The sequence below is a fragment of the Homo sapiens genome, chromosome 12 (genome assembly GCF_000001405.40).
Source record: "Homo sapiens chromosome 12, GRCh38.p14 Primary Assembly".
Lineage (NCBI taxonomy): Eukaryota > Metazoa > Chordata > Mammalia > Primates > Hominidae > Homo > Homo sapiens.
Genome location: NC_000012.12, coordinates 124,973,172 through 124,990,560, shown reverse-complemented (window position 1 = coordinate 124,990,560; position 17,389 = coordinate 124,973,172). Strand labels below are relative to the sequence as shown.

Genomic DNA, 17,389 nt, shown 5'->3' with positions numbered 1-17,389 from the left:
AAACAAAAAACCCCATAGATTTGATACGCTAATTATGATTTTTTTAAACGTCATTCATTAAGGCCTTCACAGTGGCTTATGCCTGTAATTCCGGCACTTTGGGAGGCCGAGACAAACGGATCCCTTGAGCCCAGAATTTTGAGACCAGTCTAAGCAACATAGGGAGACACCATCTCTACAAAAAAATAGAAAAATTAGCCCGTCGTGGTGGTGTGTGCCTGTAGTCATAACTACTCAGGAGGCTGAGGTGGGAGGACAGGTCAAGGCTGCAGCGAGTGGTGATTGCACCACTGCACTCTGGCCTGGCCCACAGGGCGAGATCTCATCTCTTAAAAAAAAAAAAAAAAAAGTCGGGCGCGGTGGCTCATGCCTGTAATCCCAGCACTTTGGGAGGCCCAGGCAGGCAGATCACGAGGTCAGGAGTTTGAGACCAGCCTGGCCAACATGGTGAAACTCCGTCTCTACTAAAATACAAAAACTAGCTGGGGGTGGTGGCGGGCACCTGTAGTCCCAGCTACTCGGAAGGCTGAGGCAGGAGAATCGTTTAAACCCGGGAGGCAGAGGTTGCAGTGAGCCGAGATTGCTCCACTACACTCCAGCCTGGGCAACAAAGCCAGACCTTGTCTCAATAATAATAATAATGCATTGTTTCCCAGTGTGTTACAATGTGATGCGGTAATGGGAATTTAAAGTTATGTAATAGACAACTTTATTTTTTTTTTTTTGAGACAGAGTCTAGCTCTGTTGCCCAGGCTGAAGTGCAGTGGTGCAGTCTCGGCTCACTGCAACGTCCACCTCCCGGGTTCAATCAATTCTCTGCCTCAGCCTCCCAAGTAGCTGGGATTACAGACGCCTGCCACCAGGCCTAGCTAAATTTTTTTTGTATTTTTGGTAGAGACGGGGGTTTCACCATCTTGGCCAGGCTGGTCTTGAAATCCTGACCTCGTGATCCGCCCGCCTCGGCCTCCAAAAGTGCTGGGATTACAGGCGTGAGCCACCGCGCCCGTAGAGGCCTCCTTTTAGATCTTCCATCTATCCCTGTGATGGAAATATTTGGTGCCTTTTTAAAAGTACACGACTAATACGTTTCTTGTAGGAATATCAGAAAATACAGATGCGCAAACCAGGGTTGGGGGGAAGAAGTTTGGAGTACTGGGGGCGGGGTATATTTTAAAAGGTGGCAAAACACTTCCACTCCCAAGAAGCCAAATTAGTATCAGTAGATATAATTCATATTTAAACCCAGACTACCCCAAGCGAGAACAGCCCAGGACTTAAACTCCGGCCTCCGCTGGGACCTCAGGCCCCGCCTACTTCTCTAAATAGTCCCGCCCCCTGCCCGGCCCGGCTCCGCCTCTCCTCTTCGCTGGGTTTCTCTTGCAACCCCGCCCCTCAGCGGCAAAGTCAGTTACAGTTCTCGCGATAACACAACCCGGAAGTCTCACGGCCGGAGTTGGTGGTCTGGGAACCCACGTGGGCTGGGTTTCGGATTGCTCTGCTGGTCCGGCCGCTGGAGCGCCCACCCTGGCCTAGTCGCCATGGGGAAGCTGCGCCGGCGCTACAACATCAAGGGGCGCCAGCAGGCGGGCCCCGGACCCTCGAAGGGCCCCCCCGAGCCGCCCCCCGTGCAGCTGGAACTGGAGGGTAAGACATCCCCGGACCGGGGCTGGATTTCGGAGATTTCCCAGGGCGGCCTGTGCCCTGCCTTCAGGACTCTCGGGTGGGGATCCCAGAGGGGTGGGATGGATCATCTGGAATGGGGGAATGGGTCCCCCCATTCCAGATGATCCAAAGGAGAGGGGCTTAGTGACAGCCTAGTTTTAACAGTGTATATGGAATACCCGGGATTTCTCTCGCCCTCAAATAGTAACATGGAGAATTTGGCAAAAAAAACAGGAGTAGTTCCATCCCTTCCCATGACTTCGATTATAATCTCTTTATAATCTCCAGCGACCCCCAAATGTGTATTTTCAGCCCAGTCTTGTCTGCTCAGCTCCAGGCTGGCTGACATTTCTCTCAGACCCCTTTTTAGGAGTAGCCCTTATTACATGCCAGGCACTATTCTAGGCACTGGAGACATAGCAGAAAGGGAGATTTTTAGAAAATCCCTGAGTTTACCTGCTGTATAGGAGGAGACAGGCAAAGAATAAACATATAGAAATTTATGCGGCTATAGTGAGCAGATAAAACAGAAGAGGCCATTGGGTGGGTTGCAGCATCCCATAGAGTTGCTGGAGAAGACATCACTCTGTTAGAGTCAAGATCTGAAGGAGACCTGAGTGGCTGCCTGGAGATGAGAGAAAAAACAGGGGGCCAGGGCAGGTCGGGCCTGGACTGCAGTCTTGGCGAGGACTGGGGCTTTTTCTCTACGGGAGAGGGCAGCCATGGGAGCATTTAGAGCAGAGGAGGCGTGGTGGTGGGCACCTGTAGTCCCAGCTACTTGGGAGGCTGAGGCAGGAGAATGGCTTGAACCCAGGATACGGAGGTTGCAGTGAGCCAAGATCGCACCACTGTACTCTAGCCTGGGTGAGAGAGCGAGACTCCATCTCAAAAAAAAAAAAAAAAAAAAAAAAGTTCCACAGACAGGCTGGGAGTTGAGGCAGATCCCCTAACATCTCTGTGCCTTCGTTTTCACATCTGCAGAATGGGACCAGTAGCACACGTTGAGCAGCCTTAATCCAAAATACTCCAAAATTCAAAAGTTTTTGAGTGTCAACATGACACTTAAGGAAATGCTCATTGGAGCATTCCAGATTTCAAATTTTTAGATTAGGGATGCTCAACCAGTGAATAGAATACAGATGTTCCTAAAGCTAAAACAGGTCTGGTTCCTAGCATTTCTGGAAAGGGATATTTAACCTGTAGTAGCCGTCTTACCTCCTATCAGAGTTTTGGAGATGGTAATTTGGGAAAATATGTTGCTTTGAAAAGTAAAGAAAGGTTACAGAGGTGGGGTGTGTCCCAGGACAGGTGACAACCGTTATGATGGCAGTGACAATTCAGGATGGCACCTCAAAGACAGCCGTAGACACTGGGCTGACACTTGGAACTGGACCACCTGAGCAGAGGGGCTGAGGTCTCTCAGACCCAGAGATTTGGGGAAAGTTGTTTCTCACATCAGAACAGGACATTTCCATGTATCCCTGCCTTTCTCAGGGGCCAGAGGAATCTCATAAGAACATGACTCAGATTACCTTCTTTTATTTATTTATTTATTTGAGATGGAGCCTTGCTCTGTCGCCTAGGCTGGAGTGCAGTGGCGTGATCTCTGCTCACTGCAACCTCCACCTCCCGGGTTCAAGCAGTTCTCGTGCCTCAGCCTCCTGTGTAGCTGGGATTATAGGTGCATGCCATCACACCTGGCTAGTTTTTGTATTTTTTGTAGAGACGGGATTTTGCCATGTTGGCCAGGCTGGTCCCCAACTCCTGGCCTCAGGTGATTTTCCCAAAGTGCTGGGATTGCAGGCGTGCGCCACCGCGCCCGGCCCCACCGTACACTCTTAGGAGAACATCAGGCTGGGTGCAGTGGCTCACGCCTGTAATCCCAACACTTTGGGAGGCTGAGGCGGGTGGCTCACTTGGGGGTCAGGAGTTCGAGACCGCCTGGCTAAGATGGTAAAACCCCGTCTCTACTAAAAATACAAAAATTAGCTGGGGCGTGGTGGTACATGCCTGTAATCCCAGCTACTTGGGAGGCTGAGGCGGGAGAATTGCTGGAACCTGGGAGGCGGAGGTTGAAGTGAGCTGAGATTGCGCCACTGCACTCTAGTCTGGGGGACAAAGTGAGACACCGTCTCAAAAAAACAAAAAGAGAAAATCATAGTATTTTTTGGGGGGTTTTCTTTTTTTTGAGATGGAGTCTCACCCTGTCGCCCAGGCTGGAGTGCAGTGGCAAGATCTCGGCTCACTGCAACCTCCACCTCCCAGTTTCAAGAGATTCTCCTGTCTCAGCCTCCCAAATAGCTGGGATTGCAGGCACCCACCACCACACCTGGCTAATTTTTGTATTTTTAGTAGAGACAGGGTTTCGCCACATAGGCCAGGCTGGTCTCGAACTCCTGACCTCAAGTGAGCCACCTGCCTCAGCCTCCCAAAGTGCTGGGATTACAGGCATGAGCCCCTGCGCCAAGCCTTGAGAACATCATAGTATTGTTATGAAAATAGATTTGAGCTCACAGATCCCCCTGTTCCTGTGTGCAGACTCAGGAGGCCCCCATGCAAGTCAGGGGGCTTGTGGGAGGCGGGACCAGAGCTACCTCAAGGAGAATGGGGACTTAATAACTGTGCTCTCTCAGACAAGGACACGTTGAAGGGAGTTGATGCAAGCAACGCGCTCGTTCTACCGGGGAAGAAGAAAAAGAAGACCAAAGCCCCTCCCCTGTCGAAGAAGGAGAAGAAGCCTCTGACCAAGAAGGAGAAGAAAGTGCTGCAGAAAATCTTAGAACAGAAGGAGAAAAAGAGCCAGGTACACCCCACTCGGGCAGGGTCTGCAAGTGGCTCTCCAGCATAGAGAGAGATGGGGGGTCTCTCTCCTCCTGAGGGTGTCTCTGTGGTGCAACTAATAGAACTTTCTGGAATGAGGAAAATTCCAGTGCATGGTCCAGTGCGGTAGCCACTAACCACATATTGCTGTTGAGCACTTGAAATGCAGCTACTATGGCAGAGGAACTGAACTGAACTGTTCCGGAGAATGTCAAACTTTTTTCCTTGTTTTTTCTTCTTTTTTTTTTTTTAATTTAAATTTAATTTTTTTTTCTTTTTTGTTTTGTTCCCCCACCCCCGACATCTTTTCTGGCTCTACCAAACCTTAAAAAAATTTTTTTTTTTTGAGATGGAGTCTTGCTCTGTTGCCCAGGCTGGAGTGCAGTGAAATGATCTTGGGTTCTCCTGGTATCAAGTGATTCTCCTGCCTCAGCCTCCTGTGTAGCTGGGATTACAGGCGCGTGCCACCACGTCAGGCTATTTTTTTTTTTTTTTTTTGTATTTTTAGTAGAGGCGGGGTTTCATCATGTTAGCCAGGATGATCTTGATATCCTGACCTCGTGATCCGCCCGCCTCGGCCTCCCAAAGTGCTGGGATTACAGGCGTGAACCACCATGCCCAGCCAACCTTAATTTTTTCATAGAGGAAAAAAGTTTGTCATGGGAAATTCAAACATTTGCAAGGGAAATTCAAACATTTGCAAGAGTAAAGAGAACAGTATGATGAACTCCCATGTGCCCATCGCCAGCTCCAACATTGATCAGCCCCTGGTCAATCTTGGATTATCTCCACTGCTGGTCACTTTCCCACCTCTGGGTCATTTTGAAGCAAATCCCACATACAGTGAATCTGTACTAGTTTCCTGGGGATGTCATACAAATGACCACAAACTGAGGGGCTTAGGACAATAGAAATTTGTTCCTTCCCAGCTTAGGAGGCCAGAAGTCCGAGATCAAGGTATTGGCAGGGCGGTGCTCCTCACTGGGCTCAGGGGAGGGTCATTCCTGGCCTCTTCCTGCTCCTGGCGGCTCCAGGCGTTCCCTTGGCTTGTGGCTGCGTCACTCCAATCTCTGCCTCCCTCTTCCCTCGGCCTTTCCTCCGTGTGTCTCTTCGAAGGGCGCTTCTCATTGGATTTAGGTCGCGCTCAGATACTCAGGATCATCTCATCTTGAGATCCTTCACGTAATTACGTAATTACATCTACAAAACCTTTTTCCAAATAGGGTCACGTTCGCAAGTTCTGGGATACGAACACGTCTTTGAGGGAGGCTGCCATTTAACCCACTATACATAGCATTATATCCATAAATATTTCAATTTGTATCTCTATAAGTAGAGACTTTTAAAAATGACCAGAATACCATTAGCACACCTAATCTTTTATTTTAATATCAAACATCTAGCAAGTGGTTAAATTTCCTGTTGTTTCATGGATACTCCTCACCCTTTTCTTGTTTTTTTTTCCCATTGTAGTTTATTTGTTGTTTGTCTTACAGTTTCCTACCTTCTGGATTTTTAAATTTTTATTTTATTTTATTATTTTTTGAGATGGAGTTTTGCTCTTGTTGCCCAGGCTGGAGTGCAATGGCATGATCTCGGCGCACCGCAACCTCCACCTCCCGGGTTCAAGTGATTCTCCTGCCTCAGCCTCCCGAGTAGCTGGGATTACAGGCATGCACCACCACGTCCGGCTAACTTTGTTATTTTTAATAGAGACAGGGTTTCTCCATGTTGGTCAGGCTGGTCTTGAACTCCCAACCTGAAGTGACCCACCTGCCTCGGCCTCCCCGAGTGCAGGGATTATAGGCGTGAGCCACTGCGCCCAGCCTTAAAATTTTATTTTAAACATGCTCCTCTGCCATCTGAGCTTTTTGTACATTAGTATTTGGATCTGTAGCAGTGACTGTCATCCGGAACAGTTTTGCGCGCCGCCCCCCGCTGCCCCAGGGACATTTGGCAGTGTCTTGAGACATTTTGGGCTGTGACAACTTGGGAGTGCTGCTGGCATCTGGCGGGTGGAGCCATGGGATGCTGTTAACAGCCTATAATGCACAGAAAAACAAAAACTTATTTGGCCCTAAATGTCAATAGTGCTGAGATTGAGGAACCCTGACCTGGAGCCTTCATGAGAATCAAGTTTGACTTTTGGTGAGGCCACTGCACGTGGGAGCTGTGTCTTCACATCAGGAGGCTTGAGGGTCTCTCTCCAGCAGCCGTGGATGGGCAGTCCCCAGAGCCTTGGTAGGGGGAAGACTTACTCACCTGTGAGCGTGTTCTTTTTTTTTTTTTTTTTGGAGACAAGGTCTTGCTCTGTTGCCCAGGCTGGAGTGCAGTGGTATGATCTCAGCTCACTGCAACCTCTGCCTCCCAGGTTCAAGCCATTGTCCTGCCTCAGCCTCCCGGGTAGCTGGTACCACAAGCATGCGCCACCATGCCCGGCTAATTTTTGTATTTTTAGTAGAGACATGGTTTCACCATGTTGGTTAGGTTGGTCTTGAACTCCTGACCTCAGGTGATCCACCCGCCTCGGCCTCCTAAAGTGCTGAGATTGCAGGCGTGAGCCACTGTGCCTGGTCAGTGTGTCCTTTTTAAATCCTATTTAGGGTGCTTTCCCGCTGTGCTATACCTTGTTCTGTGTGTGTGTGTGTGTGTGTGTGTGTAATACACACATAGAAGTGTGTAGGCTGGGCGCGGTGGCTCACGCTTGTAATCCCAGAACTTTGGGAGGCCGAGGCGGGCAGATCATGAGGTCAGGAGATCGAGACCACGGTGAAACCCCGTCTCTACTAAAAATACAAAAAATTAGCCAGGCATGGTGGCGGGCGCCTGTAGTCCCAGCTACTTGGAGAGGCTGAGGCAGGAGAATGGCGTGAACCCAGGAGGCAGAGCTTGCAGTGAGCCAAGATCGCACCACTGCACTCCAGCCTGGGTGACAGAGCGACACTCTGTCTCAAAAGAAGTGTGTATAAAACCTATATGTACAGTTACAAGAACAATAAAGTAAAAACTCACGAAACCCTCACCCAACTAAAAGAAGCCAACTGGGTACACCCCCTGCACACAGCATTGCTCAGGGTAGCTCGGGGACCAATTCACATCAGACACACAAAGCCGCCTCCTTCCTCAGAGCAGCTAGGGAGCACTGCTGTACATGACTGAACTGTGCTTTATTCATCTCCTGTTGATGGACATCTGGTGGGCCATAATCTTCTACTGTGATACCCTGCTGCAGAGAACCTCATTTATACAACCCCAGATTCTGTAAAAGGGGTTAAAAAAGCCAGCTTGCTGTGTCTGTTGATGGAAGAACACCATGCACCAGTAGAATTGCAATTTGACCGCCGATTTTAAAGACTCCAGGTGTTAATGATGCTGAAATTTTATTACAGTCTCACTTCCCTTCTTAAGAGAGGGTCGTGATGGCAAATGCATAATACACTCGTTTCCTTTCCCAGCGAGCAGAGATGCTACAGAAGCTGAGTGAAGTCCAGGCTTCCGAAGCTGAGATGAGACTCTTTTATACCACTTCCAAGCTAGGCACTGGGAACCGCATGTATCACACCAAAGAGTGAGTTGGCCAGTCCTTTGCTAACCCTGCCCTCCCTCCAGGGCCCCCTAGGGAGGGCGCACAGGTTATGGGGTCCTCTGGGGGTGGAACATTTGAGAAAATACCTTTATGGTGGCCTGAGTGGCTGAAAATTCATTGTCATCCTAAATGCCTCTAGTGGGTAAAGGCCACAGATGCTGCTGAACCTTCTGCGACACACAGGACAGCAAAGTTTCTCGCTCCAGTGATGTCGGTGTTTTCCTGTGGTGTAGAGTCCCTTGTTACAGCTCTTCCAGCTTTTGTGCAGCTGATTAGGCCAGAAATTGCCATTAGGTGGTCAAGGGCTGGATTTGGCCCATCAGCGGGTTTGGTTTGGTTTGTGTCGTGTTTTTTTTTGTTTTTTTTTTTTGAGACAGAGTCTTGCTTTGTCACCCAGGCTGGAGTGCAATGGCGTGATCTCAGCTTACCGCAACCTCCACCTCCCAGGTTCAAGCGATTCTCCTGCCTCAGCCTCCCAAGTAGCTGGGATTACAGGCATGCACCACCAAGCCCGGCTAATTTTGTATTTTTAGTAGAGACGGGGTTTCTCCATGTTGGTCAGGCTGGTCTCGAACTCCCAACCTTGGGTGATCTGCCCGCCTCGGCCTCCCAAAGTGCTGGGATTACAGGCGTGAGCCACCGCGCCCGACTGGTTTGTGTCGTTTTTTAAGGCATGAGTGCTGTTTGCCAATATGTTAGCTTCCTGGCGCTGCCATAACAAATTACTGCAAACAGCGGTGGCTTAGAACAACCAAGCCAGAAGGGTGCCGTGGCTCATACCTGTAATCCTAGCACTTTGGGAGGCCGAGGCGGGTGGATCACCTGAGGTCAGGAGTTTGAGACTAGCATGGCCAACATGGTGAAACCCTGTCTCCACTAAAAATACAAAAATTAGCTGGGCATGGTGGCTCATGCCTGTGGTCTCAGCTACTCTGGCGGCTGAGGTGGGAGGATCACCTGAGCCTGGGAGGTTGAAGCTACAGTGAGCCGTGATTGCACCACTGCACTCCGTCCTGGGCGACAAGGTGAATTCATGTTCCCACCTAGTCTCGACTAGTTGGACGATCCGGCCACACCAGCAGTGTCCCCACCAAGCTGCTGACCCTTAAATGGCCTGTGTGCCCCTCCCACCCAGTCCCACCCCACTCTGTGGTCTCCTCAGCCTGTGCTGCTCATTTACATGAGGCCTGACTGGTGCCTGTGAGCACTGTCAGTTAGTGACTGTTTATCGAGTGCAGAGACTGTCCCAGGCTCTCTGCTAGGCCCTGGGGATAGAGCAGTGCACAGAAATAAAGTCCTTTCTCTTAAGGAGCTTCCCAGTGTCATGGCGGGAGATGTAATCGTGGGAAGTCATCAGGCGAGTGCATCTGTGTCCCACGCTGGGAAGCACTGAGCAGAAAATGAAGCAGGGAAGAGCGAGGTGGAGGGAGAAGGGTGAGATGTGGGGTCTGTGTGTGGTCAGGGAGTCTCCCTGACAGCTAGTGCTTAAGCAGAGGCTTAAGTGGAGTGAGAGGAGGTATCTGCAGGAAGGGCATTTCAGGGAGTGGAACAGCAGGTGCAAAGTCCCTGAGGCAGAAAGGGGTATGGCCTTGGAGTCCTGACCTCTGGGATTGAGGTGGGGCCTCTGTGCCTGAAGTCTCTGCTATCTCAACAGGAAGGCTGACGAGGTGGTAGCCCCGGGCCAGGAGAAGATCAGTAGCCTCAGCGGTGCCCACCGGAAGCGTCGCCGCTGGCCCTCAGCTGAGGAGGAGGAGGAGGAGGAGGAGGAGTCGGAATCGGAGCTGGAGGAGGAGTCGGAGCTGGACGAGGACCCAGCTGCTGAGCCGGCTGAGGCTGGTGTGGGGACCACCGTGGCACCTCTGCCGCCAGCTCCAGCACCCAGCAGTCAGCCCGTGCCGGCTGGGATGACTGTTCCTCCTCCTCCAGCTGCAGCCCCACCACTGCCCAGGGCCCTGGCTAAGCCCGCCGTCTTCATCCCCGTGAACCGCTCCCCGGAAATGCAGGTTCGCCACCCCGTGTTTGTGATTAAGAATCTAGGTTAGCGGGCAAGGGGCGCACAGAGGGCGTCCTGGTGAAGTGGGGCAAGGGCATCCCTTCTCTGTGCCTCCATGTCCCCATCTGGGAAAGGGGAGAGTGACTGCGCCTCCCTTGAGGCTGTGGCAGGGATTGGTGCGCGAGGAGGATCACAGTGCAGGGCGGGTGTCTGGCGGCACGCCTGGCAGGCTCGGGGCCCTGGAGGTCGGCGGCAGTAGCTTCATCGCCACTGCCCTCTGACCAGCGGGCCTGGCCTGGGCTGCCCCGATCCAGACAAGAGTTTGGGCTGTGAATCAGTTGACCCGAAATCAAGTGCTGATTCCCCTGCTCTCCAGCTCACTTCCCGCGCATCTGTAAAATGGGAATATTCCGGCTACTGAAGGGGCTCCCCCTCTCTGTGCCTGTTTCCTTCCTGGTACAATGAGTGTCTCACTGGGTTGTGATGACAATGAAAGGATTTGGGGCATGGAAAGCCCACAGCCCACGTAGGAACTCTGGATCCCTAGAGGAGTAATGTTGGCCGTTGAATGGAATTGGGATCCTGCTTCTAAGTACATTTTTCTGCTTTTATAAGTCTTCATCAGGGTAAGCTGACCGCTCTAGCAAATGACCCCAAAGTGCCAGTGGCTTCACACCACAAACGTTTGCTTCTAGGTGATGTCATCACCCAGTGCCATCTGGTGGCAAGGAGGGTGTGGGGTTCTGCTCCGCGCGGTCACTCAGGGGCTTGGCCTCCTCCATCCCGTGTCCCTGCCATCCCTTGGGACTTCAGTTCCTGCTTTTCTTTGTGAATTTTTCCCTATTCGTATCCTGTCCATATTCCTAAGCAATACATACCGTAGGTTTGCCTGTATTTAAAAGTGGCATCATGTCCTTTACGTTATTCCAGTTTGCTTTTTTGTTACTCAGCATTATATCTTGGGATACATCCATGTTGATGCAGGCAGCTGAGGCTCATTTACTTTTTCCCCACTGCTATCGAGTATTCACGGTGTGAATATAGCGCAGGATGAGTATTCTGTTGCTGGATAGTTGGTTGTTTTAGCTTTTTGCTGTTATCTTCACTGCTGTTTTTGTTGTTTGTTCGTTTGAAACAGGGTCTCACTCTGTCACCCAGGCTAAAGTGCAGAGGTTTGATCTCAGCTGACTGCAACCTCCGCCTCCGAGGCTCAAGTGACCCTCCTGCCTCACCCTCCCAAAGAGCCTGGGACTGTGGGCACACGCTACTACGCTTGGCTAACTTTGTATTTTTTTTGTAGAGACGGGGTTTTGCCATGTTGCCCAGGCTGGTCTTGAACTCCCAAGCTCAGGCAACTCCCAAACTCAGGCAATCTGCCCACTTTGGCCTCCTAAAGTGCTGGGATTACAGGCATGAGCACATGACTAGCCTTCACTGCTTTTTTAAACGTTCTTGTCCCTCTCCTATGAGCGCATGTGCAGAAGTTTCTCTTGGGCAGTGTTTGCAAATGACGTGATAGCCATCTTTGGGTCATGAATTGAGTAGCTTTTAATCTTTTTTTTTTTTTTGAGACAGTGTCTTGTTCTGTTACCCAGGCTGGAGTGCAGTGGTGTGATCACAGTTCACTGCAGCCTCTACCTCCTGGGCTCAAGCGGTCCTCCCACCTCAGCCTCCTGAGTAGCTGGCACTACAGATATGTGCCACCATGCCTGGCTAACTTTTTTATTTTTATTTTTTTGTAGAGACAGAGTCTGGCTATGTTGCCCAGGCTGGTCTTGAATTCCTGACCTCAAGCAGTCCTCTGCCTTGGCCTCTCAAGTCGCTGGGATTACAGGCGTGAGCCATCATGCCTGGCCTCATATTTTTAAAAAAAACAAATGGAGGCCAGGCACGATGGCTCACGCCTGTAATCCCAACACTTTGGGAGGCCGAGGCGGGTGGATCACCTGAGGTCAGGAGTTTGACACCAGCCTGGCCAACGTGGTGAAACCCCGTCTCTACTGAAAATACAAAAATTAGCCAGGCATGGTGGTGGGTGCCTGTAATCCCAGCTACTCAGGAGGCTGAGGCAGGAGAATCACTTGAACCCAGGAGGTGGAGGTTGCAGTGAGCCAAGATCACACTATTGCACTCCAGCCTGGACAACAAGAGTGAAACTCTGTCTCAAAAAGTAAATAAATACAACAAGTGGAATAGAATAGAATAGAAATAGAACAAAAATTAAGAATATGAGCTTGTTGGCCAGGCATGGTGGCTCATGCCTGTAATCCCAGCACTTTGGGAGGCCGAGGTGGGCAGATCACCTGAGGTCAGGAGTTCAAGACCAGCCTGGCCAACCTGGTGAAACCACATTTCCACTAAAAATACAAAAATTAGCTGGGCGTGGTGGCATGTGCCTGTAATCCCAGCTACTCAGGAGGCTGAGGCGGGAGAATCGCTTGAACCCGGGAGGCAGAGGTTGCAGTGAGCCGAGATCGCGCCATTGCATACACCTTAGGGTGAGCCATGTTTCACAGAACTGTTCCTTCCATATACGATACATATATGTGCCTGTGTGTGTACTGAGTCATGATATAAAATGTGTTTCTTTCCATGAGTCACAGGAAAAAATGTAGAAAGCCCCTGCTCTGGAATATGTACCTAGGAGAGGAACTGCAGGGCCACACATCTTAACTTTGAGAAAATTTGCACCAGATTATTTATCGAAGTGGCTGGGCCGTTAATTGAGACTCCTGCCAGCAACAGCCGAGGGTTCCCGTATCTCTGAGAGACTGCTCTGCCCCAACCAAGCTGTGCCTGGGGATGTCAGTCCTGGTGTCCTGAAGGATGTGATCCCTGTCTCTGTCTCTCCTGGACCATGGCTCCTGGTCCCCTCCCCAGCTGTCAGGGCCTCTGTTCCCCAGCAGGCACATCTGTTCAGCACCCATGTGTCAGCTGCCACCTTCCTGGAGGTCCCATCACTGTCTATAGTCTTGCTGCTCCCTAAGTGCTGACTTCCTCTCCTTCCAGGAGGAACGGCTGAAGCTCCCAATTCTCTCCGAAGAACAAGTAATCATGGAGGCTGTGGCCGAGCACCCCATCGTCATCGTGTGTGGTGAGACCGGCAGCGGGAAGACCACACAGGTGCCTCAGTTTCTCTATGAAGCAGGCTTCAGCAGGTAGGGGCTGGACACAGGGTTCTCTCTGGGTCCCTCAGTGACACTGGAGATGCCCTGAAAGGTCGATAAGAGCCTGGGCTCCCCAGGATCCAATCCTGGATCTGCCCTGTGCATGCTGTGTGACTTCAGACAAGCTACTTAACCTCTCTGGGCCCCAGCTGTGAGATGGGAATAATAGCGCCTACTTCACAAGGTTGTCGTGTGGATTAAGTGAGTGAACTTGCGTAGCACACTTAATTCCTGGCACGTAGAGCTATGTGCTTACTATTTTCTTTTTTCCTTTTTTTTTTTTTTTTGAGACAGCGTCTCGCTGTGTCACCCCGGCTGGAGTACAGTGGTGTGATATTGGCTCACTGCAACTCCGCCTCCCGGGTTCAAGTGATTCTCCTGCCTCAGCCTCCTCAACAGCTGGGATTACAGGCGCCCGCCACCACACCCAGCTAATTTTTGTATTTTTAGTAGAGACAGGGTTTCTTTTTTTTTTCTTTTTTCTTTTTATTATTATTATTTTTGAGACGGAGCCTCACTCTGTTGCCCAGGCTGGAGTGTAGTGGCGCGATCTCGGCTCACTGCAAGCTGCGCCTCCCGGGTTCACGCCATTCTCCTGCCTCAGCCTCCCAAGTAGCTGGGACTACAGGCGCCCACCACCACGCCCAGCTAATTTTTTTGTATTTTTAGTAGAGACGGGGTTTCACCATGTTAGCCGGGATGGTCTCGATCTCCTGACCTCGTGATCCGCCTGCCTCGGCCTCCCAAAGTGCTGGGATTACAGGCATGAGCCACTGCACCCGGCCAAGAGACAGAGTTTCACCGTGTTGGTCAGGCTGGTCTTGAACTCCTGACCTCATGTGATCCACCCACCTCGACCTCCCAAAGTGCTGGGATTACAGGCGTGAGCCACCCCGCCCAGCCTGCGCTTACCATTTTCACTGTGTAGCCTGCTATTGGCACTTTTGACCCATGTGTGTTGGGGTCCCCAAGACCATGCTCAGGTTCGGTGATTGACCGGGGACTCCCAGGACTCAGCATGTTATCCTGCACATGGCTATGGTATATTACAGCGAAGGACGCGATCAGCAGAGGGCAGTGGTACCTGGGGTGTTCTGGGGAAACCCAGCTCCAGCTTCCAGAGTCCCCTCCCGGTGGACTCACACAGGACGCACTGGATTCTCCAGTAGCCACCTGTGGCCACACAGGAACTATCCTCCACCAGGGAAGCTAGTTAGAGATTCAGGGTCCACGGCTGTTACTGGGGTCGCCTAAGCCCACCCTGCCTGGCAGGAACGAAATCCTAGACGCCTAAAAGGAAAGCAGGTGTCCGGCATAAACCACCCTGTTTGCACAAACAGGCTGGGCACAGTGGGCCCCGCACTTACAGGGAATGGAAGGAGCTCTCCTGTTGTACAGGTTCAGGCACCCAGCGAGGGCCAGCCCCGTCAGCAGCCTTTCGAGGGAGAGCAGCTGCAGGTCTGTGGTGTTAATGTTCCCACAGAGCTGGGACCAGCCACCCATCGGCTTGGCGGGTTCCTGTGTCTGGAGGAGCTTGTGCTTGACTGGGGCAAACAGAGCTCCCAGCCTGGTTCCCCCAGGCCCCGTTCCTTCTAGCGGCTGCCTGGTGTCCGCTGCATGGTGAATGTCGAACCGTTTTCTATGTGTTGGCCTTTGGGCTGTTCCGTTTGCTGTTAAAAGTAGTGCAACCTGGCACTGTTTCCCACCGCCCCTGGGTGAGCGCCAGGTCAGTATGGCAAATCTTGCTGTGGAACTGCATGAGGCTTTGGCATGAACAGGTGGGGCCGCGCACTGTTGATGGCCATGTTCTTCCTCCCCCAGTGAAGACAGCATCATCGGTGTCACGGAGCCCCGCCGAGTGGCCGCCGTGGCCATGTCCCAGCGAGTGGCCAAGGAGATGAATCTGTCCCAGCGGTGAGGGCTCTACTTCCCTGGGGCGGACTATGGGGTGGTCCTGTGGCCTTGCCCAGATGTGGGAAGCCCAGGAGGAGGTGAGCAGCATCTGTGCCGAGGGTGCTGGGTGGAGTGTCACCTCTGCATGTAGCACTGGGAATCATTGTGTGAGAGAACTTTCCAGGACCTGCCCAAGCAGGGGGCCTCCAAGCAAGCTTACGTCCTGCACAGTGTGCCGAGGGGACAGAGTGGCCCATCCAGGGGCTCGAGAACAGAGCAGGGGGCCAGATGCAGGCAGTCACGGAGCTAGTACCTAGCATTGCCGGGTTAATCTAAAACTCAAGGTTCTAAAGTACAAAATCTTGGCCGGGTGTGGTGGCTCACGCCTGTAATTCCAGCGCTTTGGGAGGCCAAGGCGGGCAGATCACCTGAGGTCTGGAATTCGAGACCAACCTGACCAACATGGAGAAACCCTGTCTCTACTAAAAATACAAGATGAGCCAGGTGTGGTGGCACATGCCTGTAATCCCAGCTACTCGGGAGGTTAAGGCAGGAGAATCACTTGAACCCGGGAGGCAGAGGTTGCCGTAAGCCAAGATCGCACCATTGCACTCCAGCATGGGCAACAAGAGTGAAACTCTGTCTCAAAAAAAAAAAAAAATCTTCAGGCGGTAAGTCTGTAGGACTTGCTTTGGAAAGCAGCCTTGAACAGGCAGATATAGCACTTGCTTTACAATGGCTGGGAGCATATGTTTATAATGCAGAGGCCTGTGTCTAACATGTCCAGCATGGTCTAAAATCCAGAAGGCACAAAAGAGCACAGAGTGAGAGCCTGCCTCATCTGCCCACTCAGCAGATGTTACTAGGCAGCATCTAGTGTGCCAGGCCCATCCTGGGCTCTCAGGACGTGGTGGTGGACCAGACAGAGCCACCGGCCCCCGGGTCAGCATGCCAGTTGGGGGACTTGTTGTCTTTGTACGTTAGGCTCGGAGGACGCTAAGGCAGGGATGGAGTACTGGGGGCCCCTTCTCACCCAATGCCCTGCCTCCTCTCCAGGAGCAGCCACCACTGACCATCTCCTGCACGTCCTCCTGGACAATTCTGTGCATAGTTGGCATGCGTCTAGGAAAAGCTGCCTCATTCTCTTTTTAACTTGTTAAATATTATAAAAATTTGGGGACTGGGTGGCCGGGTGCGGTGGCTCACGCCTGTAATCCCAGCACTTTGGGAGGCCGAGGCAGGTGGATCATGAGGTCAGGAGATCGAGACCATCCTGGCTAACACGGTGAAACCCCATCTCTTGAAAAAAATACAAAAAATTAGCCGTGCGCAGTGGCGGGTGCCTGTAATGCCAGCTACTCGGGAGGCTGAGGCAGGAGAATGGCGTGAACCCAGGAGGCAGAGCTTGCAGTGAGCCGAGATTGAGATAGCACCACTGCAGTCTGGCCTGGGCGAAAGAGCGAGACTCCGTCTCAGAAAAAAAAAAAAAAATTTGGGGACTGGGCACGGCGGCTCACGCCTGTAATCCCAGGACTTTGGGAGGCCGAGGCAGGTGGATCACCAGAGGTTGGGAGTTTGTGACTAGCCTGACAAACATGAAGAAAACCCATCTCTACTAAAAATACAAAAAAATTAGCTGGGTGTGGTGGCACATGCCTGTAATCCAGCTATTCAGGAGGCTGAGGCAGAAGAATCCCTTGAACCCGAGAGGCGGAGGTTGCCATGAGCCGAGATCACGCCATTGCACTTCAGCCTGGGCAACAAGAGTGAGACTCCATCTCAAAAAAAAAAAAAAAAAAAAGCGTTGGGGGGGGCGCATATACATAAGTAGAAAGGATAGTATAATGAGCCCCCAGGTACCCAAGACCCAGTTGTAATAATTGTCAACTCTTGCCCTAGCCTGTTGGATCTGTACTCTCCTCCTGGCCCCCCTCCCCCCCACTGTTTAGAAGCAAATCTTAGGTATCTTATTTTATCCTCAATATTTTGCTGTACAGATCTGAGAGATAAGAACTAATTTTTTTTTTTTCTTTTTTGAGACGGAGTTTCACTTTGTCACCCAGGCTGGAGTTCAGTGGTGCGATCTTGGCTCACTGCAACCTTTGCCTCCTGGGTTCAAACGATTCTCCTGCCTCAGCCTCCCGAATAGCTGGAATTGCAGGTGCCCGGCTAATTTTTGTATTTAGTAGAGATGGGGTTTCACCATGTTGGCCAGGCTGGTCTTGAACTCCTCACCTCAGGTGATCCACCCACCTCGGCCTCCCAAAG

The 17,389-nt window shown here is 51.6% G+C and overlaps 1 protein-coding gene across 5 annotated transcripts in view, besides 2 other annotated features; it reads left to right on the top strand.

The window, feature by feature from the left end:
• The window catches only part of DHX37 (DEAH-box helicase 37), a 42,306-nt gene continuing 26,346 nt past the window's right edge, over positions 1,430–17,389 (top strand). For all 5 annotated transcript variants that reach the window (NM_032656.4, XM_005253590.4, XM_047429218.1 and 2 more), the window contains exons 1-6: positions 1,430–1,644; positions 4,296–4,465; positions 7,938–8,050; positions 9,723–10,071; positions 13,071–13,219; positions 15,050–15,142. In NM_032656.4, coding sequence (NP_116045.2) covers positions 1,539–1,644; positions 4,296–4,465; positions 7,938–8,050; positions 9,723–10,071; positions 13,071–13,219; positions 15,050–15,142 — 980 coding nt within the window. In that variant the 5' untranslated portion in view covers positions 1,430–1,538. The remainder of the gene's footprint in view (positions 1,645–4,295; positions 4,466–7,937; positions 8,051–9,722; positions 10,072–13,070; positions 13,220–15,049; positions 15,143–17,389) is intronic.
• Positions 1,517–1,726: a silencer, noted in NCBI's record as "silent region_5073". NCBI's record gives its function as "represses an Ori minimal core promoter by ATAC-STARR-seq in GM12878 lymphoblastoid cells {active_cell/tissue: GM12878}" and the evidence as "EXISTENCE:reporter gene assay evidence [ECO:0000049][PMID:35858748]".
• Positions 2,967–3,510: an enhancer, noted in NCBI's record as "H3K4me1 hESC enhancer chr12:125471597-125472140 (GRCh37/hg19 assembly coordinates)". NCBI's record gives its function as "activates a minimal SCP1, AML or CMV promoter by ChIP-STARR-seq in primed H9 embryonic stem cells {active_cell/tissue: H9 hESC(primed)}" and the evidence as "EXISTENCE:reporter gene assay evidence [ECO:0000049][PMID:30033119]".